Source organism: Homo sapiens, chromosome 17, assembly GCF_000001405.40.
Source record: "Homo sapiens chromosome 17, GRCh38.p14 Primary Assembly".
NCBI lineage: Eukaryota > Metazoa > Chordata > Mammalia > Primates > Hominidae > Homo > Homo sapiens.
The window spans coordinates 10096433-10118487 of NC_000017.11; the positions used below are offsets into that span (position 1 = coordinate 10096433).

General features: G+C 48.6%; 1 protein-coding gene across 4 annotated transcripts in view, besides 4 other annotated features; it reads right to left on the reverse strand.

The window, feature by feature from the left end:
* Positions 1 to 22055, reverse strand: part of GAS7 (growth arrest specific 7) — a 288001-nt gene that overhangs the window by 185827 nt on the left and 80119 nt on the right. Inside the window, exon 1 of one of the 4 annotated variants that reach the window (XM_011524044.4) lies at positions 18010 to 18162. The exons of 1 other annotated variant lie outside the window; for it this stretch is intronic. The gene's annotated coding sequence lies outside the window, so the exon portion shown is untranslated. Of the gene's footprint in view, positions 1 to 9422; positions 9791 to 18009; positions 18163 to 22055 lie in introns of those variants that run through there. 2 more of the 4 variants (XM_047436955.1, XM_047436954.1) reach the window with 2 other exon arrangements.
* Positions 10798 to 11339: an enhancer, noted in NCBI's record as "H3K27ac-H3K4me1 hESC enhancer chr17:10010547-10011088 (GRCh37/hg19 assembly coordinates)". NCBI's record gives its function as "activates a minimal SCP1, AML or CMV promoter by ChIP-STARR-seq in primed H9 embryonic stem cells {active_cell/tissue: H9 hESC(primed)}" and the evidence as "EXISTENCE:reporter gene assay evidence [ECO:0000049][PMID:30033119]".
* Positions 18822 to 18881: a silencer, noted in NCBI's record as "silent region_8199". NCBI's record gives its function as "represses an Ori minimal core promoter by ATAC-STARR-seq in GM12878 lymphoblastoid cells {active_cell/tissue: GM12878}" and the evidence as "EXISTENCE:reporter gene assay evidence [ECO:0000049][PMID:35858748]".
* Positions 20836 to 21365: an enhancer, noted in NCBI's record as "H3K27ac-H3K4me1 hESC enhancer chr17:10020585-10021114 (GRCh37/hg19 assembly coordinates)". NCBI's record gives its function as "activates a minimal SCP1, AML or CMV promoter by ChIP-STARR-seq in primed H9 embryonic stem cells {active_cell/tissue: H9 hESC(primed)}" and the evidence as "EXISTENCE:reporter gene assay evidence [ECO:0000049][PMID:30033119]".
* Positions 21366 to 21895: an enhancer, noted in NCBI's record as "H3K27ac-H3K4me1 hESC enhancer chr17:10021115-10021644 (GRCh37/hg19 assembly coordinates)". NCBI's record gives its function as "activates a minimal SCP1, AML or CMV promoter by ChIP-STARR-seq in primed H9 embryonic stem cells {active_cell/tissue: H9 hESC(primed)}" and the evidence as "EXISTENCE:reporter gene assay evidence [ECO:0000049][PMID:30033119]".

The following is a 22055-nucleotide window of genomic DNA, read 5'->3' on the forward strand; positions in this document are numbered from 1 at the left end:
AAAATCCAAGCACAAGTCCTTCAGGGAGCTTCCATGTTGTGGTAAGCCAATGAGGAATCTGTCACTTGGGCCTGCATACCCCACAGTGGCCTTCTTCCAAGGATGGCACTCCATTTTCCTGTGGGGAGCCACACTTCTCCATTCTCAGGTATGGACAGCACTACCCACCCAACAGACCCAGGCCTAAGGCCATCACCCAGTCAATTCAGAACCAGCACCTGGTTCTGACAAGCCACTCCATTTCATGGGGCTTCATCTTATGGAAAAGGAGCTGTCTTTTGCCAATGGTCTCAGCGCAGGGAGGATACCAGTCTGGAGCTGCCAGCTTCCAACGTGCAGCTCAAGTGAGAAAGCGCACATCCTGACATCTTTGGATCCTGTAGCCACAGAACCTACGGATCCACGAGTGGCGTCCAAAACACGCCCTTCTTGGCTTAAGCCATACTGGGCTGGTTTTCTAGCCTTTGCAATAGAAAGGGTCCCATCCGAGGCTGCAATTTCCTTCCTTCCCTCATCATCTCACCATCCCCTCACCCTGCAGCTATGCCAGACATTTTCTAAATCAAAAACACAACAAATACCCCAAAAAACTTTTCAAGCCAGCTGCCTTATTTAATTCCCAAGCATTCCTCTGATGTCTCTGTGCCTTTGCCCACGCCGATCTCTGGCGCTGGGCTGCCTTCCCTCTCTAGTCTTGGGGAATCCTACTCCTCTGTAAGGCCTCCTCACCTTCCTCTCCCTTCTCTGAGCCCCCATAACATTCTGAATACATTTACTACAGTTCCCTGCTTAAACTCGGCTCTTCCAACAAGACCGCAAGCTCCTATGGCAGTGGTCAGGGCCCACTCACAACATCTCTGCATTAACCCAGAAGGTGACTCAAAAAATACTTGCTTGACTGAATGGGAGGAAGATGGCAGAGCAGAAGAGAGACTCCCCGGATGGGGTTACTCAGTCTCTCGGGGCTCTGCCAGGTATAGATCTTACACACAGCCACATTCCCAGGGTGACGAGAGGAACCGGGGCACACAGCTCACCTCCAAAAAAGCAGGGCGAGCAGGACACACTGGACACACAAATCAGGTGAAGCAGGTGCAGCAGCTCTTGCAGGGCACAAGCACAAAGCCCTGGCCTCCATGAGATCCCTTCCAGGCTGCTGAGTTTTTCACATTTTTACAAACTCAGGACCTCAGAGCCGTAATAACCCATGTGGGCTCTGTGCTTCTATCGGAATCCGCAGGCAGGTATGGCAGGCACGACAGGTACACACTAGGCAACCTCTGCCCTCGCTCTGGGTCAGGGGGTGGGTGGTAAAAAATGTACACTGGGGGCCAGGCACGGTGGCTCACCCCTGTAATCCCAGCACTTTGGGAGGCCGAGGCGGGCAGATCACCTGAAGTCAGGAGTTCGAGACCAGCCTGGCCAACATAGCGAAACCCCGTCTCTACTAAAAATATAAAAATTAGCCACAGGTGGTGGCAGGCGACTGTAATCCCAGCTATTTGGGAGGCTGAGACAGGAGAATCACTTGAACCCAGGAGGCAGAGGTCGCAATGAGCCAAGATCGTGCCACTGCACTCCAGCCCGGGTGACAGAGCAAGACTCCATCTCAAAAAAAAAAAAAAAAGTGTACATTGGGACTCGCCTCCTTGTGCCCAAGAGACCCTGGGGTGTCCCCAAACTTCTGTGCCACTCCATGCCCCCATTCACCTTATGCCACCCTTTTCTTCTCTCCAGGAGACTCTTGGGCACCCAGAGCACATGGAATAAAGAGTGAGCTGGAGCCGCGGGCTACAAGGGGTAGGGACAGCTGTGGGGACCTCCCTCTAGGACTAGCCTGGCCAGGAGAGCAGGAGGTGGCTTCCCCAGCTGCTGCCAAAAGACACCTCCAGCCACAACTCTCCACTCACCCCATGCAGCCAGGGCTGCCCACTGCTGTCTTCCACGCTGTCCTGTAGTGGCTGCTTTTGCCCAGATCTCTCCATCCACCACAAAATGAACCTAACGAGGATGCAGGGTGATGAGGTGATGAGGTGGTTCAGGCTCCAAGCAAGAAAGAAGCCTTTGTTTGCCAAAGGTGGGTCAGACCTTCTTGTCCCAGTGGCCGAGACAGCAGAGGAAGAGTGTAAAGTGGGATTATATGCTACAATAGGTATGACAGGAGCTACAAGGATTGGCTCAGAGCCATGGGAAGTGGGCATATCCCTAGCCAGGCACTCTCCTTCAGAACACAGATAAAACAGGTGGCCGGGCGCGGTGGCTGATGCCTGTAATCCCAGCACTTTGGGAGGCTGAGATGGGCGGATCACGAGGTCAGGAGATCCAGACCATCCTGGCTAACACGGTGAAGCCCTGTCTCTACTAAAAATACAAAAAATTAGCCGGGTGTGGTGGCGGGCACCTGTAGTCCCAGCTACTTGGGAGGCTGAGGCAGAATGGCGTGAACCCGGTAGGCGGAGCTTGCAGTGAGCCAAGATCGTGCCACTGCACTCCAGCCTGGATGACAGAGCGAGACTCCATCTCAAAAAAAGAAAATAAAAAAAGAATGCAGATAACACAGGTTAGATGAAGGGCAGAGTTGTGGCCATGGGCATGGAGGTGAGAGATGGGTACCGAATGTCAGCTCTCCATTAGCTAGTAGCAGGACTTTCTCTAAGCCCTGTCTCCTTATGCTTGTGAAATAGGCCTGCTGGATTTAATAATCTATCTCAGAGGCCCCTTCCAGTAATAAGCCTGTGAGTCATCAGAAAATGCATGGAGAGGTGGAGACACACCCATCCAAACCCTCCCTCTGCCCACCCATTTACCAAACAGCGCCTGTTCCACCAGCCCACTGCTAAGCTTAGGGTGCATTCCTGGGGAGCCCTCCCCAAAACAGGTTCCACATGGCCCTGTGAGGCTTCTACCACAGACGCCGAAAGAGGCAGATCTGCCTGCAGCAGGGTACAACCAGAGCAGGCAGGGACTTTGCAAATCTTTCTGGCCGGTGAAAAGTTTAAACACCGTCATGCTGTTAAGTGATCCGAGAGCAGCATCTTTCCACCGCCCTGGAGTGGTTCTGGCAGGGCACCCTGCACTGGGGGTGCCGAAAGTGAAGAATGAATTACATTGCTTAATTTCTCCTCCAATGTACTTTTTTTTGGACGGCGGGGGAGTGGAGACATTCCACACAATAGGAAAGAGACCCATCCTGGGCAAGGCATAGCCAGATATAACAATGCAAATGTGTGTACATATACAACTCTTCATTTTGAAAGGGAAGCTGAATCTCTGTGACTTTTGCAAGATTAGTCACCCTGGGTGCAGCACCTAAGTGTCCCAGTCCTTAGGTGCCCTCTGCCCTGGCCTTCTCCCCAAGGTATACCCTCTCACCAACCTAATATATTCAAAACCTAAGAGTGTAATTCGTTACCTTTCTTCCAAATTCACTTAAGACTTAAGACTGTGTCAATCTCTAAAAGCATATAACAGGGACAGTGGACAGTGGAAGGCCAGAACACTCTTCTGTCCTAATGGGTTCAAGAAATATTCTTAGCTTCTTAGACCAGTTCCCTTAGCACCTACATAGAAGATCAGGAATGGAAAGAGACAAGAAAAGAGGAGGTTGAGATCCATCTATTATCCTCCTTATTAGGAGTTTAAAGGCTCCGAAAGAGGAAATGAAAACTTTGGGTTAAAAGAAGACTCAGTGGAATTATTCGGATTTAAAATATAATTGAACTGAACAATTGATACACGGCTCTTTACATCCTTGACTTTTTGTGGTTGATTTCATTATATTTCTAGCTCAACCTGCAACCTTATCTCCTATTTAGCACAGATGATCAAAAACATGTTGCCGGACACTCAAAGAAATGATCTGTATCTGTTCATCTTGATTTCCTCAGCATCTTTTTCTCCCTTTGTGTGGATTCAGGCACATGGACTCACACAAAGTTCAGCACAGAATGCCACTTCCCAGAGGTCTCCTCTCTGCCCTCTATTCCTTCAGGTCTCTACAACTTCTCTAACACTAACCATCCTGCTTCCATCTCTGCCTGAGAGCTAGACCGGATCTCTCAAATCCCATCCAGGTGAGAGCAAGGATTCCATCACTACCATATCTTACCAGTTACCATTGTGGGTAGACATCCATTCTCCTCCCTCAGGTATCAGCTGACTTGCATTTGCTCCCTTCTCAGCCCAGGTGGTGAGGATGGGGCTGATCCACCTCCCAACCCCCCCATCCAGGCTCCATCTGAAAGCTGCTAGGTGACTTTCCTGGTTTTTTTCCCCTCTTTGGAATTACGAAGTTTTTAGAATCAGAAAGACTCTAAAGTCTTTAGAATCAGAAAGTTTTTAGAGTCAGAAAGATTCTAAAAACTTCATAATTCCAAAGCGGGATAAAAAGGGTTTTCTGAGAAGATTGCTAAGCTAGAAAATGAAGCTAAAACAGAGGGATGCAAAGCCTAGAGATGGAGATTTCTGATGACACTGCCTTTGCTTCTTCTATTGGTTATTTACTGGGTGTAACAAATTTGCCCAAAAATTAGCGACTTAAAACAACAGTCATTTGGCCACGTGCAGTGGCTCATGCCTGTAATCCCAGCTACTCGGAAGGCTGAGGCAGGAGGATCACTTGAGCCCAGGAGGTCCAGACCAGTCTAAGCAACATAGCAAGACCCCATCTCAAAAACAAAAAAAACCAAATATGGTCACTTATGGATTCAGTTTCTGGGGAGCAGGTATCCACGCATGGTTTTCCCAGACCCCGAGCCTTACCCAGGGTCTCTCCCAAGGCTACAATCAAGATGTCAGCCAGGGCTGTAGTCACCATAAGTCTCAATCAGAGGAGAATCTGCTTCCAAACTCATTCATGTTGAGGCTGTTGAGGCATTTGTTAGTTTCTTGCCACATGCGTCTCTCCCTAGGACAGCCAACCAGCAAGCAGGCAAGAGAAAACAAGCATGGCGGAAGCCACGGCCATTTTGTTACCTGCTCTCAGGAGTGACATTCTGTCATATCTATTGTTAGAAGCAAGTTACTGTGTCCCGCCCACACTCAAGGGGAAGGGATTACACAAGAGTGACCAGGAGGCAGGGAGCACAGAAAGCCATCTTAGAGGCCACCTAACACATCTCTAGAACAGGCGGTACCTACAGCCACACGCCTGTGGGCTTTTCATTCATGAGGGCCAATAAATCCCTGCACCCCACACTCTGTGACTGTCGCTCAGCTGGTTTGACTTGGGCTGCTACCACTTAAAACCCAGGGTCCCTCGGACTTTACCACAACTCCTTGTTACAGTCATGGCTGACTCTTCCAGGCACTCCCTCTCATTGGTTAAAGAGAAGCATTAGCCCCTGACTTCTATCACTGTTCCCACCATGCGTTTTGGCAAAGGGATGCCAGGACCCATCTAAGTTGGCTTCTCAGTTTTTCACGCTCTTTGTGCTTCTGCCCTGGTTCTTGGCCAGGCTGCCTGGTACATGGGGCCCTGCCCTCTGCCTGTCTTCTATGAAATTTTCTAAGGGGTCTGGGACCAGCAGAGACTGGCAGAACCATCTAAGCAACTCCCTCCCCAAATAGTGCCCATGCATAAGGTAATCCAGACACCCCAAGGAGCTCTGAACAGTGGGCCTATAGGGTCATTGTTTAGCTCAGAGATTGTGGTATTATATTAATACATTTTTTTTCAAGGAAGAAAACAAACCAGATCTAAGCTGAATGAGTTTTGAAAACGCACTGAAAGAAATCTGATTGATCTAGAAGGAAGAAAAGAAAGAGTGCCCGTAAAAAAAAAAAAAAAAAAAAAAAAAAGAATCTTCCCCATTGTTGACCACTGAGATTCAGCCTTCTAATTCAGAGGGGAGCACAAGGTGACCCCTGAATTATGCTACACCAATTCAGCTGAAATTAAGGGTAATTTGTACAAAGAGTCTGGAATTTTCAAGGAGAACTAATTCCTACTGTCCCAGCCATGAAAATCAGAGTTTCCAGCATAGTAGTCTAATCTCTTAGTCGGCTAGCTGACTAAGTATTTCTTTGGTGGGACTACGCAAGGTTGGGCAGCTAGAATGGCCTCCGCATGCTGATTTTGAGTGACCCACATTGCTTACATAGACAAGTGCCCACACGTTCTAGGGGCAGCCCTGCCTCCACACCACCTTGGCTACCTATTCCAGTGGTCATCCCCTGACCTGGTATTTTAAATCCAGACTTCTCAAGCCTGGATGAGCATCTGAATTACCAGAGGAGATTTTTTAAAGTAGGGTACCCAGGACACACTCTATACCAATTAATTCACAACCTCCATCAAAATCAAAATACCCAGGCCCTGTTTTTTTTTTTTGGTTTGGTTTCCGGGTCTTTATGTTCCCCAGATAATTCCAACATTGACAAGACCCATTTTAAACGGAGAGCCACAAATCCCAAACAGGCACTCAACTCTTGCTTACTCTGCCCCAAATGAATGTTCAATAGGCGAGTAATTAGGCATATCCTGGACACATTTTAGGAAACTGTCTCTTCCTAAACTTCCCATTGAGGAAGGGCTGTGGAATCTCGATCCTCAGAGTGGGATCCAGGGAGGCACCAGCAGCATTCCTGTCGCCTAGAAGCTTGTTAGAAATGCAGAATCTGCATTTTAACAAACCCTGACCGGACGTAGTGGCTCACACCTGTAATCCCAGCATTTTGGGAGGCCGAGGTGGGCAGATTGCTAAGAGCCCAGGAGTTTGAGACCAGCCTGGGCAATATGGCAAAACCCCTCCTCTAAAAAAATTAGCCAGGCGTGGTGGTGCACACTTGTGGTCCTAGCTACTCAGGAGGCTAAGGTGGGAGAATCACCTGAGCCTGGGGAGTAGAGGCTGCAGTGAGAGCTGTGACTGTAACACTGTACTCCATCCAGTCTGGGTGATAGGTTAAGACCCTGTCTCAAACAAACCAACCAACCAACCCCCATGTAGTTGGTTTGCACATTTAAATTTGAGAAGCACAGCTCATGCCATCTAGCGACCCTACTCTAGCTGCCCAGTGAGACTGTTTTCCATTTTCCAAAACAACGATTTCATTTCTCAGATGATGGGAAATGTTTTCTCTCACACTTCACTTAGAAAGATAGGAACAACCCGGCCAGGCGCGATGGCTCCCACCTGTAATCCCAGCACTTTGGGAGGCCGAGGTGGGCGGATCACCTGAGGTCAGGAGTTCAAGACCAGCCTGGCCAACATGGAGAAACCCCGTCTCTACCAAAAATACAAAAATTAGCTGGGTGTGGTGGCACATGCCTGTAATCCCGGCTACTAGGGAGGCTGAGGCAGGAGAACTGCTTGAACCTGGGAGGCAGAGGTTGCAGTGAGCCAAGATCTCACCATTGCACTCCAGCCTGGGTGACACAGCAAGACTGCATCTCAAAAAATCTCAAAAAAAAAAAAAAAGAAGCAAACCCATAGAACCCATAGTAGCTGCTCATCAACCCACAGCCCAAATTCATCCTATCCTACCCACATCAGAGCCCACGCTCGCAGCCTTCCCTCCCACAACAGTAACTCCTCCTACCAAAGGCAACTTACCTGCTTTCTACCGATCAGCACATAATACCTACCTTTAAATTTAAAAAATTAAAGATAAATATATCCTTTGACCCCAGTTCTCCATTCCTTTATTCATTTCCTTCTCCTAACAGAAAAAATTTTCACCAAAAATGTTGCCTGTAGTCACGGCTTCGAATCTTTTACCTCTAATTCCCTCCTTCCCACTCCACTGAGCCTACTCTCCACAATGTCACCAGTGACCTCCATGTTGTCACCAAATCCAAGGGCATCTGTCTCTCTTCTAGAGTCGTTGGCCAGCCAGCAACATTCAATGTCCCCTTTTTCCAGAAACCATGACTGCTCTGGGCTCCCATGACATCTCATGGGTTTTCTCAAGTAGTCACCTTTTTGGATCATCCTCTGTGTGTTCTTAAATGTCACAGTGCCCAGAGCTCACTCCTGCCCCACCTCTTTTCTATCTACTCACTCCCTGTAGTGGCCTGACCCTGTTCCATAGCTTCAGACATTCTCTATTCCCAATGACTCTAAATTAATATCTCTAGCCCTGACCTGTCCCAGCTCTCCAGACCCATGGCCACCTGGCTACCTATCATCCCTATGCTGATGCTCAGGAGGAATCTAACGAATCTAATGACTCATTTTCTTCACTTCCAAAAACAAAACTAGACCTGCTCTCCATAACTCATTTTAATAAATGGTACCACCATCTATCATCCTGTTGCTTACACCCCAAAATCTAGGATTCTCAAGTCCACACACCTTCCACATCCAATTCCTCTCACCTATCAGTTCTATCTCTAAAACATCCTGATCCATCCACATTTTCCTTCTCCACTGCTGCCATGCTGTTCCCTACATTATTACGATGATCTTCTTGTTCCACTTTTCATCCCCTCCAATTCATTCTCACATTGCAGCCAGAGGGAACTTATAAAACATCCATCAAATTATGTCAGCCTTGTAACTAAAATCATCCCAAGGCTTTGCACTACTCCTAGAAAAACCAACCCAAACCATTTACCCTAATTCATAAAGCAATAAAGCCTGCCTCTGACTACCTCACCTTACACTGTTTTCTGCTCTTCCCCTCCAGCCACCCTGACCTTCTAGCTCTGTGCTGTCCAATGCAGGAGACTCTGGCCACATACGGCTATTTAAAGTTAAAATTAAATTAATTGAAACTCAAATAGAATGCAAACATGCCATGCGTATTCCTACCCGACGCCGTTGGTAAGGCGTCTCCCTCTGCTTGGAGCACCTGCCCTGCTTTTAGGGGGAAGCCACACCTTCTCTTGCCTTCCAGGTGTGGTGTGGCTCAGGTGGTGGCTCCTCCACAAACACCGGCCCCTCCTCTGATCTTCTCCAGCACCTGCCTGCAGCCCAGCTTTGACTCTTATTCAAACTCAAATAAAATTCAGTTCCTTGGTCTCACTAGCCATTTTGCAAGTGCTCAGCGGTCCCATGTGACTAGTGGCTACCATGTTAGATGGTACAGGCCTAGAGCATCCCTGTCCCTGCAGAAATTTCTATTGGACTGTGCTGTTCTAGCATTCCCAGGATGAGGCAGGTCTGATCTTGCATGACACTTTTGCACTTGCTGTCACCTCTGCCTGGAATGCTGTTCCCCTTCCCCTCCCTGTGGCCAGCTGCTTCTTGTCATCCAGACAACAGTTTAAGCGTCACCGCTCCAGAGAGGCCTTCCCTAAGCTCCCAATCCAAAGAAGCCACCCACTTCCTCCCAATCGCATGAGCCCGTGTAACTGCAGAGCACGTATCACTAGCTCATGCCTTTCTTGTTTGCGTCTGTCAGCTTATTCCCCAACTCTACCCCACCTCTCCACCCCAAAGTATACTCGTGAGATCAGGGACCTGGGTAGTCTTACTCACCACTGCATTCCAGCTCCTCCTCCTGCATCTGCCCGATGACTCTGCTCAGTAAGTGTTAGTGGACTGCCAGACCTTGCCATGTTCGTATTTCCTCTCGAGTCTCTCACAACCATCACCTTCTCATCATTATCCCTGCCACCACCCAGGCGGGGCCTTTATCCTCTCCTCCTGGGCAGTACTATAAACAGAATCCTACCTCTGCCCTCCAGTCAACCCTGCAAACATTAGCACGTTACTCCTACTAACATTCCTCTTGTCATATCAACTCCCGGTTCCTCCATCTTCTGGTCCCAAATAGCCTCCACATCCCCAAAAGTGCCATGCGTATTCCTACCTCGGTGCTGCTGGTAAGGCCTCTCCCTCTGCTTGGAGCACCTGCCCTGCTTCTCAGGGAAGGCCACACCTTCTCTTACCTTCCAGGTGTGGCTCGGGTGGCGGCTCCTCCGCAGACACCGGCCCCTCCTCTGATCTTCTCCAGCACCTGTCTGCAGCCCAGCTTTGGCTCTTACTCAAGAAGTCTCACATCCCATGTGCAGGCACACAGATAATCCCCAAGACCATGTCTAAAATTCAACAGTCTCAAACTTTGCTGAGGATCAGAATCACCGGGAGAGCTAATGAAGAACACACAGGTCCAGGCTCACGGAAGCAGGATAGAGTCTGAATCTCTGTACTTTTTCCACCTTCCTTAGGAGATTTGAGATTTGCATCTTTAGAGCATTAGACCTTCAACATGAATAGCTCAACCTCTCTTCATCCTCGCTCCCACCCACACACCCTTCCCAGCCTCTAGTTAAAGATCACTTAACCAATTCCAGCAACTCAGAACTCCTGGGGAGTGACCGACTTGGCGAATAACGTCCTCTCACACAAACCTGCTCTTCTTCAATTATTAAAAGATACCCGCTGTGGTAGGCTTGAAAGTGCCCCCCCCCCCAAATATATTAATATCTTAATCACCAGAACCTGTGAATGTTACCTTATATGGCAAAAGGGACTTTGTAGGGCATGACTGACTTAAGGATTTTGAGGTGGGGGAGTTATTCTGGATTATCTGGGTAGGTTCTAAATGCAATCACAGGGTCTAAGAGGAAGACAAGGTCAAAGAAGAAAGAGGCTGATGCCACAGTCCCACTGGACTGTGGTAAGGTGGTTCCTTACACCAAGGTGGAAACAGGCGCCAAGGAAGGAGTTCAAGAGGATGAAAACAGGAAGGAACAGATTCTCCTTGGAGCTTCCAGAAGGACCAGCCCTGCCGACACCTTAATTTTTAGCCTTGTAAAACTCATTTCAGACTTTGGATCCTTAGAACTATGAGTAAATAAATGCATTTTAAGTCACTGCATTTGTGGCATTCGTTACAGCAGCAATGGGAAACTAACACACTTCCTCTTACATAACACTACAAGGTGAAGTTCTACTTTGTCTGTCTTGCTGGGCCTCCATTAACCTTTATAGGAACGGCCCCAGGTTCAAGAGGCCAAAGACGAGACACAGAGCCAGCCAATGAGACACAGGGTTTTATCAGCTGGAAACTTACATACAGAGTGGTCCAGTGGTGGCAGGCTGGGAAGGAGAAGTAGCTTATATACAGTCCAGTGGTGGCGGGCTGGGCAGGAGAACTGCCTTACACACAGTCCAGTGGTGGCGGGCTGGGCAGGAGAACTACCTTACACATAGTCCAGTGGCAGGCTGAGCAGGGGAACCACCTTACACACAGTCCAGTGGTGGTGAGCTGGTTAGGGAAACCGCCTTACACACAGTCCAGTGGGGGGCTGGGCAGGAGAACCGCCTTACACAGTCCAGTGGTGGTGGGCTGGGCAGGAGAACTACCTTACACACAGTCCAGTGGTGGCAGGCTGAGCAGGGGAACCACCTTACACACAGTCCACTGGTGGTGAGCTGGTTAGGGAAACCGCCTTACACACAGTCCAGTGAGGGGCTGGGCAGGAGAACCGCCTTACACACAGTCCAGTAGGGGACTGGGTAGGAGAACCACCTTACACACAGTCCAGTAGGGGACTGGGCAGGGGAACTGCCTTACACAGTCCAGTGGTGGTGGGCTGGTTAGGGAAACCGCCTTACACACAGTCCAGTGGGAGCTGGGCAGGAGAACCACCTTACACACAGTCCCAGTGGGGGACTGGGCAAGAGAATCACTTTACCACAGTCCAGTGGAGGGCTTGGCAGGGGAACCACCTTACCATAGTCCAGAGGGGGTCTGGGCAAGAGAATCACTGTACCACAGTCCAGTGGCGGGCTGGGCTGGAGAACCACATGGCCCAGCGTGGCCAGCTAGGCAGGAGAACTGCAAGCACTTGCCTGAAGCATGCAGTTTATAGAGCATTTTTGCTTTGCATCCTCTCCCTAACAACCTCCACCTGGCAACCTTCATTTAACCCAAAAGAAAGGGCCTTGGTCCTCCATATGGCCTGTGTTCCACTGGACGGGCCAAGGGCTCAGATGTTTCTCATAGGTAAGGAATGAATCTCTGAGTTGGCCACTGCCTGATTCTTTAGCATGGAAATCCACACACACATTCTGGTGCATCTACCACACAGGGTCGTTCTCAGGGTATGCTTAACTTATTGCTGTCAAGTGTGTCTACCATGCACTGTGATTTTCTATTTAATGCATGCCCCAGTGAGCATTTTCTTTGAGCATCATATAGTCCTGAAAAAGTTTCAGATTTTGGAGGATCTGTCTTTGTATTTAGCTCAGATATTTAAAAATTGCACTGCAGAGTAACCAGATAGCATGACGTTCATATAAAAACAGGCACGTAGACCAATGGAACAGAATAGAGAATCCAGAAATAAATCCATGTATTTACAGCCAACTGAGTTTCAACAAAAGCACCAAGAATACACATTGAGGAAAGGACAGTCTCTTCAATCAGGGGTGTTGAGGAAACTGGATATCCATACGTAGAGGAATAAAACTGGACCCCTATCTCTCACCATATACAAAAATCAACTCAAGATGGATTAAAGACTTAAACTAAGGCTCGAAACTATAAAACTACTAGAAAGAACACTTCAGGACATTGGTCTAGGCAAAGATTTTACAGTTAAGACCTCAAAAGCACAGACAACAAAACCAAAAATAGACAAATGGGCCCATATTAAACTAAAAAGGTTTTACAAAGCAAAGGAAACAGTCAACAAAGTGGAAAGACAATCTATTGAATGGGAGAGAATATTTGAAAACTATTTATCTGATGAGGGACTAATAGCCAGAATATACAAGGAACTCAACAGCAAAAAAAATTTAAAAAAATAAAAATAAATAAAAATAAAATAACCATTAAAAAGTAGGCAAAGGGCATGAATAGACATTCTCAACAGAAGACATACAAATTGCTAACAGGCATATAAAAAAATACCCAACATCACTAATCACCAGGGAAATTCAAATTAAAACCACAACGAGCTATCATCTTACGCCAGAGTTAGAACGGGTATGCCTGGCTTATTTAACTTAAGGTAACATAATAACCTCCAGTTCCATTCATGTTGCTGCTAATGACAGCCGTTAGAACAGCTATCATTAAAAAGATAAAAAATATCATTAAAAAGATAAAAAATAACAGATACTGCCAAGGATGAGGAAAGATGGGATCTCTTGTACACTACTGGTGGGAATGCAAATTGGTACAGCCACTGGGGAAACCAGTACAGAGACTTCTCAGAAAACTAAAAATAGAACAACCATACCATCCAGCAATCCCACTGCTGGGTATTTATCCAAACAAAAAGAAATCAGGATATCAAAAGACATCAGGCCAGGAGCAGTGGCTCACGCCTGTAATTCCAACACTTTGGGAGGCCAAGGCAGGTGGATCACCTGAGATCAGGAGTTCAAGACCAGCCTGGCCAACATAGCAAAACTCCGTCTCTACTTAAAAATACAAAAACAGGGCCAGGCGCGGTGGTACACGCCTGTAATCCCAGCACTTTGGGAGGCAGAGGCGGGTGGATCATGAGGTCAGGAGTTTGAGACCAGCCTGGCCAACGTGGTAAAACCCCCTCTGTACTAAAAATACAAAAATCAGCTGGGCGTGGTGGTGGGCGCCTGTAATCCCAGCTATTCGGGAGGATGAGGCAGGAGAATCACTTGAACCCGGGAGGTGGAGGTTGCAGTGAGCCGAGATTGTGCCATTGCACTTCAGCCTGGGCGACACAGCAAGGCTCCGTCTCAAAAAAAAAAAAAAAAAAAAGATATCAAAGAGATACCTGTACTCACACGTTTACTGCAGCATGATTCACAATAGCAAAATTATGGAATCAACCTAAGTGTCCATCAATGGACAAGTGGATAAAAAAATGCGGTATATATACACCGTGGAATTCTATTCAGCATGAAAAAGAAAGAAATCATGTCATTAGCAGCAACATGAACGGAACTGGAGGTTATTATGTTAAGTTAAATAAGCCAGGCATAGAAAGACAAAGATCAGTGTTCTCACTGATATGTAGGAGCTAAAAAAGTTGCTCTCGTGGAGATGAGAGTAGATAGTTAACTAGAGGCTAGGAAGGGTGTGTGGGAAAGAGGGGGGATGAAGAGAGTTTGGTTAAGGGGTACAAACATACAGTTAGACAGAAGATATAAGTTCTTTTCTTTTTTTTTAAGACGGAGTCTCGCTGTGACACCCAGGCTGAAGTGCAATGGCGCAATCTTGGCTCACGGCAACCTCCGTCTCCCGGGTTCAACCAATTCTCCTGTCTAAGCCTCAGCCTCCCAAGTAGTTGGGACTACAGGTGCATGTCACCACGTCTGGCTGATTTTTGTATTTTTAGTAGAGACGGTGTTTCACCATATTGGTCAGGCTGGTCTCGAACTCCTGACCTCAAGTGATCTGCCCGCCTCAGCCTCCCAAAGTGCTGGGATTACAGGCATGAGCCACTGCGCCCAGCCAGAAGATACAAGTTCTAAAGTTGGATAGCAGAGCAGAGGGATTATAGTTAGCAACAATATATCACACATTTTGAAACAGCTAGAAGAATGTTTGTTCCCAACACACAGCAATGACTGACGCTAAGGTTATGGATACCCCAAATACCCTGACTTATCAATTATTATACATTCTATACATGCAACCAAATATCACATCTACCCCATAAATATGTAAAACATTACGCGTCGATTAAAAAGTAAAATAACACAAGATGCTCTATTTAGACAGGGCTAGTTTGCTTTGGTGTCCACAACTTGTAGGTCAGTAACTGCTGTGTACATCTATGGATATCAAAAGTCCTTAAGGGGGCCGGGTGTCTTGGCTGGCACCTGTAATCCTAGCAGTTTGGGAGGCTGAGATGGGAGGATCCTTTGAGGTCAGGAGTTCGAGACCAGCCTGGTCAACATGGTGAAACCCCGTCTCTACTAAAAATACAGAAATGGCCAGGCGCAATGGCTCACGCCTGTAATCCCACAACTTTGGGAGGCCGAGGTGGGCGGATGATGGGTAAGGAGATTGAGACAATGTTGGATAACACAGTGAAACCCCGTCTCTATTAAAAATACAAAATAATAGCCAGGCGTGGTGTCGTGCACCTGTAGTCTCAGCTACTTGGGAGGCTGAGGCAGGAGAATGGCATGAACCCGGGAGGCGGACGTTGCAGTGAGCCAAGACTGTGCCACTGCACTCCAGCCTGGGTGACAGAGTGAGACTCTGTCTCAAAAAAACAAACAAACAAACAAACAAAAAACCAGAAATATACTTGGGAGGCTGAGGCAGGAGAATCGCTTGAACCCAGGAGGCAGAGGGTACAGTGAGCCGAGATCACGCCACTGCACTCCAGCCTGGAGACAGGGCAAGACTCCGTCTCTAAATAAATAAATAAGTCTTTAAGGGAGGCCTATATTCCAAGGGAATTGCGACCCTCCTTGGTGGGTCTGGCAGCCTAACCCCAATTGTGTTTCCAATAGGCGAAATTCGGGAGTTCCAAAATTGGACCAGGTCATGGGGCCTGGATACCCTGATGAAGAACTGCTGCCGTGTTTCGACTTGAGGAAACCTAGACCAGATACACTCTGCTTCTTAGACTCTTATTTTCATGCTAAAAGCATACAGTTTAGACCTGTGCTCTCCCATATGGTAGTCAGTGGACACATACAGCCCCTCAATATAAATTAATCCAAATGAAAGAACCACTTCCGCAGTTGCACCAGCCACATGTTAGTGGCTACCGTACTGGGCGTCACAAAAGTAGAACATTGCCATCCTCAGAGAGTTCTACTGGGCTGTGCTGCCTGAGGGCATCTCTCCAGGCATTCTTTGCTACAGCTTCACCTCCAGCTCCCTGACTTAGAAAAGCCTGGGAGCAGAGAAATGCTGTCACTGCATCCAATTCCACCGTGGATGCATCCTCGAGCACGTGACCGAAGACACACAGCGAGGGATGCTTTCCAGGGGTGTTTGCCCACGTGTGGGGCTTTTCACTGAAAAGACTCTATCTTTGGAAAGGGAGAGGCAGAAGACACAGAACACTGGAAAACAAGAGGAAGACTCAGGCAGGAGCAAGGTAGGGCAGATGGAGATGAGAGAGAGGAGGGAAGTAGGAAAAGATAATAGGAGTAGCATGTAGAAAATGGAGTCTAGCCGGGCGCGGTGTCTCACGCCTGTAATCCCAGCACTTTCAGAGGCTGAGGTGGGTGGATCACCTGAGGTGAGGAGTTCGAGACCAGCCTGACCAACATGGAGAAACCCCAACTCTACTAAAAATACAAAATTAGCCGGGCATGGTGGCACATGCCTGTAATCCCAGCTACTCAGGAGGCTGAATTCAGCAGGAGAATTGCTTGAACCTGGGAGGCAGAGGTTGTGGTGAGCTGAGATCATACCAGTGCACTCCAGCCTGGGCCATGAGAGTGAAACTGCATCTCAAAAACAAACAAAGAAAAGAAAAAAGAAAGAAAGAAAGAGAGAAAGAGAAAGAAAGAAAAGAAAAGAGAGAGAAAAGGAAGAAAGAGGGAAGGAAGGAAAGAAAGAAAAGAAAAGAAAAAAAGAAAAAGAAAAGAGAAAAGAGAGTCCAGTAGTGTCATCACAAGTAGAAAATTCAAGTGTTGCAAAGGATTCTTTCCCTTAAGATCTATATGTAAAACAACCGACTGGCCTGCAGAGAGGCTAGACCAAGTCCACCCAACGATCTGCAAGACAGAGGGTCCTCTGAGGGTCCACTCCCTATGGCCCAGGGAAGCAGAGAGGGACCCCATCCACTCACTGCCTGCATGGGAGGCTGCAATAGAGTGGGGGAGCCATGGGAGAGAAATTCAACAGAAAGTAAAGACAAACTTTTCCAAGCAGAAATTAAAAAAAAATCTGAAAGTGCACGATGCTGGCAAGGCTATGGGAAAGCAGGCACTCCTACTCGCTGCTAGCAGAAGTGTAAGCTAGAACAGTCTTGTTAGAGGCAATCTGGCCCTTTCTGTCAAAACTACAAACACATATATTCTTTGTTCCAACCTTTCAACCTCAGAAACTTGCCCTTCAGAGACCCTCACCCACGTGCAGAATGATGGATATACGAGGCTATCCACAGCAGCAACAGGTAAAGGTAACAGAGAAAGATTAGAAGCAACCTTTATGCCCATTGGTGAAATGAGTGGGGCAGGCATTAAACAGGAGGAGGAAGCTCTTCCTATTGACTAAACTCCAAGATATGTTATATGATTTAACAAAAAGCATCAGTAGCACCAGCAAGGTGCAGAAGTATAGAGGGGATACCTGTGTTCAGAAAACCACAGAGATCGCATTTTTCCGCCCCCTACAACTTGTGCCTCTCACTTCCCGACACACGGTTTCCTGGGTTAAGGAAAATAAAATGAAACATATTTGGAAATTCCTGGACTACTTCTGGAAGTACCCACAAGAAACTGATCACTTGTTTGCCACTCGGGAAGGGAACTGATAGGTTGAGGACAGGGATGGGAAGGAGACCAACTTTTCACTCTACGTTTTTTGTACCTTTCAGATATCAGACCTGAGCATATATTACCTATTTGATAAGTATAAAATTAACAGATATACTTTTGGGTATACATACTGACCAAACATACTTCTGTCTCTTTTGTTTCTCAAGATAGGGTCTTGCTATCTTGCCCAGGCTGGAGTGCAGTGGTGTGATCACAGCTCACTGCAGCCTCAACCTCCCGGGCTCAAGTGATCTTCCTGCCTCAGCCTCCCGAGTAGCTGGGGCTACAGGCATGCACCACCACGCCTGGCTAATCTTTTTTTTTCTTTCATTATTTTTTGTAGAGATGGGGGTCTCCCTATGTTGCGCAGGCTGATCTCAAACTCCTGGGCTCAAGAAATCCTCCTGCCTCAGCCTCTTAAAGTGCTGAGATTACAGGCATGAGCCACCATGCACTTTTCCGTCAATGCTACAGTCTCACTGGGAAGGAAGCCAGTGCCTGCCAGGTGAGTGGGCCCAGGTTACCAGAGCACACAGCCCTGTGCTCCCAAGATGCAACAGGCCCCTCGTTGTGCCCTGCCCTGCAATCTGGTTCTTCAGAAGAGGAGTTCCCAAATACCTGGTCCTCTGCAAATCTGAGCTGTAAACAAGCCTTGGAAAGGTCCTCCCCTTACCTAAATCCCAGCTTCAGGGTCCCGTTTCTGACTGGGGTGCCACCACCAAAGGCAGGGTATACACAGCCACCGAGTGATCCTCTGCCTGCTTCTCACTCCAGGGAAGAAAATCAAAGCAGGTCCCATGGCTGCCGTCTGATAATCACTATGGACACCACACACCAGCCAGCATCAGGGCTGTGTCCAATTAGCCACCCCCATAACAACACCATAGCAACAAAGGTAATATTATTGTTCTAAAGAGAAGAGAAAAACCACACACACACACACACACACACACACACACACACACTGTGTTGTGTGACAGCTTTGAAAGCCACAGAGATCGCATTTTTCCACACCCTAGAACTTGTGCCTCTCACTTCCCGACACACAGTTTCCTCAATGAGAAGTCACAGGCTTGGGGCAATCTCCTCTTCACGCCATTCCAAGATGCGTGTCCTTCACAGGAAACTGGCATGAGAATGATTCTCTGGCAAGCCAGGAGTCAGGGCTGCCTCCTCGCTCTGCCTCTGTGGCTGGCAGGGCTGGGCCAGCTGCAGACCAACAGGCTGGGGGTCATGCTCCAAGCTGTCCTCTGTCTGTCTGTCTGTCTGGCTGGCTGGCTGGCTGCCTCTCTGTGCCAGACCCAAGCTGGCACTGGGGTTTTGGTGGTTGCATCAATGAGCCACACGCTAATCTCCAGACCTAAATGTGGAAAGCATTAACCCAAATGAAAAGACATAAATTAGGACGGGGGCTTATGGGATGGAGGAAAACAGCTCTTCTCTGAGCGAGAGCCTGGGCTGTTGCACAAGAGCTGAGTGAGTCACCAGCCAGCAGAGGGAAGGACCAGGGACGGAAGGAGGGAGGGGAGCCCCCCGTGGGACTGGCGGGTGCACAGGCGGGGGGAACGCTGCAAAAACACAGCTGTAGGTTCATAACTAAGCACACTTCATCAGCAGTCTGAAGGAGGGTGGGGGGCAAAGTGTCACCTCCTCCCCAACTCAGGAAGTGTTGCAACACGTGTCCTCCCCAGAGAAGACAGCAGAAAGAAGTGTTCCTAACTGTTCACCCTTTACAGGCTGCAGCTGTGCCCCGGGGAAGCACACCTCAGCACAGAGAAGGCCTCTCTCATCCCTCCTTGCCCCTTCTTGGCAGTGTCCATACACTTGGGGGTCCCCTAGCATGAGGTGTCCATTGTGGGCACACAACTCTTGCCCATACTTATTACCATTTCTTGTCTTTTCTTCCTTTCCTTTTTCCAAACTCCCCATCCTCCATACTACTGTTGTTAACAACAAGACAAATCCTTTGGTCTCCCCCGCCCCTAGTCCCTGGGGAGAACCTTATACCTTCCCTTAAAACCGTGCCCCACTCACCAACCTCCCCAGCCATGACAGATTCCAAAGCTCCAATATCCAGGCAAATTCTTAGTACCTTCTACGAGTGAGGCACGCTGTCCCTGGGGGTGGCAGTGGAGAGAAGGAGCTCTCCCAAACAGATCATCCAACCAGGACTTCTGAGACTTAGAAGCCCTAGAAATTTGCTCAGCACCTTGGTGGGACCCCTCACCTCTCCAGATCATCATCAAAATGAGGTTGGGTTGGCCGGCCATGGTGGCTCACGACTGTAATCCCAGCACTTTGGGAAGACAAGGGAAGTGAATCATTTGAAGTCAGGAGTTCAAGACCAGCCTGGCCAACATGGCCAAACCCCATCTCTACTAAAAGTACAAAAATTAGCCGAGTGTGGTGGCGTGTGCCTGTGGTCCCAGCTACTCAGGAGGCTGAGGCAGGAGAAGAATTGCTTGAACCCAGGAGGCGGAGGTTGCAGTGAGCTGAGATTGTACCACTGCACTCCAGCCTAGGGGACAGAGTGAGACTCTTGCCTCAAAAAAAAAAAAATGTTGGGTTTAGAGATCAGCTGGGTCCCTTAGACTCTGACAGTGCTCATCTGTAAGAAATGCATGGAACAAAATGAATACTCTCCAGAGTACCTGGCTGCTGCAGGGCTTACCCCGGGGAATGCAAGCTGAAGAAGAGTGCCCTGGGCTGAGCGGGTCTCTGCAACTGGCCGGGCTGCTCACAGCCACTGGGTGCTCAGGAAAGGTGACCAGCAGATAGCACCAGCCGCATCCTGCCAGGGAAGTCACTTACAGGAGAGCTCTTGCGGGTAGGGAGTGGGTCTGAAGTGGACTTAGAGGGCAGCTGGCAGAGACAATGGGAAGAGAAGGTATTCCAGACCAAGGAATCATTCATTCATATTCATTCATTTATTTATTCGACACAGGTTTCTTGAACACCTCTTATACACCAGACGCAGGTTTCGACACTGGGATACATCAGTTAACAAGACAAAGATCCATGCCTCAGGGAGCTTACATTCTAGCAGGGGAGATACACAACCCACAACAAGCCAGACAGACAGGTCAATGATCCAGTTTTGCTGGAAGGTGATAAATGATGAGGGGGGGAAAAGAAAAAACAGAGCAAAGGGGTGGACCTGCCAGAGTGAGTGAGAGACTGAAAGGAGATAAAGAGGTCTATTCATATCCTGAGGCTGCTGTAACAAATTCCCATACACTAACGGGCTTCAAACAATGAAAATTTATTATCTTACAGTTCTGGAGGTCAAAAGTCTGAAACAGGTTTCACAGGGCTAAAGTCAAGATGTCTGCAGGGCTGGCTGGTTCCTCCTGGAGGCTCTAGGAGAGAATCCATTTCTTTGCCTTTCTCAGCTTCTGGAGCCCACCCACTTTCCCTGGCTTTCGGCCCCTTCCTCTCGTCACTCAGCCTCTTGCTTCCAACATCACATCTCCTAACACTGATTCTGGCCCTCCTGCCTCCCTCTCATAAGGACCCTTGGCTTACACTGGGCCCACGTGGATAATCCAGGATTATCTCCCCATCTCCGGTTCTCAACTTAATCACAACTGCAAAATCCCATCTGCCACAGAAGGTAACATATTCACAGGCTCCAGAGATTAGAAGGTAGACATCTTCAGGGGACCATTACTCAGCCCCCACAGGGAGTTGGGCTGCAAAGGCCCTGATGAGGAAGCATGCCTGGAACATTTAAAGAAACACCACGGAAGGCGGAGGACAGAGGCAGGAGTGACACAGGAGTGAGACCAACGGGGAGGAGCAGGTGCTGAGGTCAGGACAGCAATGGGGACCCAATTATGTAGCACCTCATCAGCCACTGTAGGGCTTCCGCGTCTTCACTCTGCCGACATGGGGCACCACTGGACTGTGGTAAGCAGAAGCACGATGTGTTCAGACCCTTCCTGTGAAAACAACAGACTAGGGACCAGCAGAGCAGCCAGGAGGCGCCTGCAACAGCCCGGCAGCATTGTGGTGGCAGCTGTGGCTCAGTCCAAGGCTACAGTGGTAGGGTGGTGAGAAGTGATCCTGTGTTTAAAGATCTGTTTTGCAAGAAGGGCCAACCTGCATTCTCAACATGCTGAATGTGGAATGTGAGAAAAAAAGGGGAGTCAAGGTTTTTGCCTCCAGCGGCTGGAAGGACAAACTAGCCATTTACTGAGCTGTGAGAAGCCACTGTAGCCCAGACCTGGGCTAGGCAACTGCGTCCTGGACAGGACAAGTGGAGATGTCAAGGACACAGCTGGACCTACTTGGGTCTGCACTTTTCCCCGAGGGTAACAGGCAGCACCAGGACCCTGTTGCTCTCCAGGGCGTGGAGACAGCCAAGACCATCCCGGATTACATTTCTAAGTCAGTCACTCGTTGCAAGACAAGATGATAGAGATGGAGTAAACAGGGATATCGCCTGAGCCCTCGGTTTCTCAGCCAGGTATTTTTCCGCTTCTCACAGCGCATAAGGTGGGAAGGAAGTCATGGGAGCACAGCTGGATTCTGGAATGCAGCCCAACCACAGGCTCAAAATCCTCATCTGTGAACAGCTCCACTCACTACCTGGTCAGCCTCTCCGGCCTGCCCTGGGGGCCCTCACTGCCCTGCCAGTCAATTCCAAAAAGCCCTCGTGGGCTGGGCGCAGTGGCTCACGCCTGTAATCCCAACACTTTGGGAGGCCAAGGCTGGTGG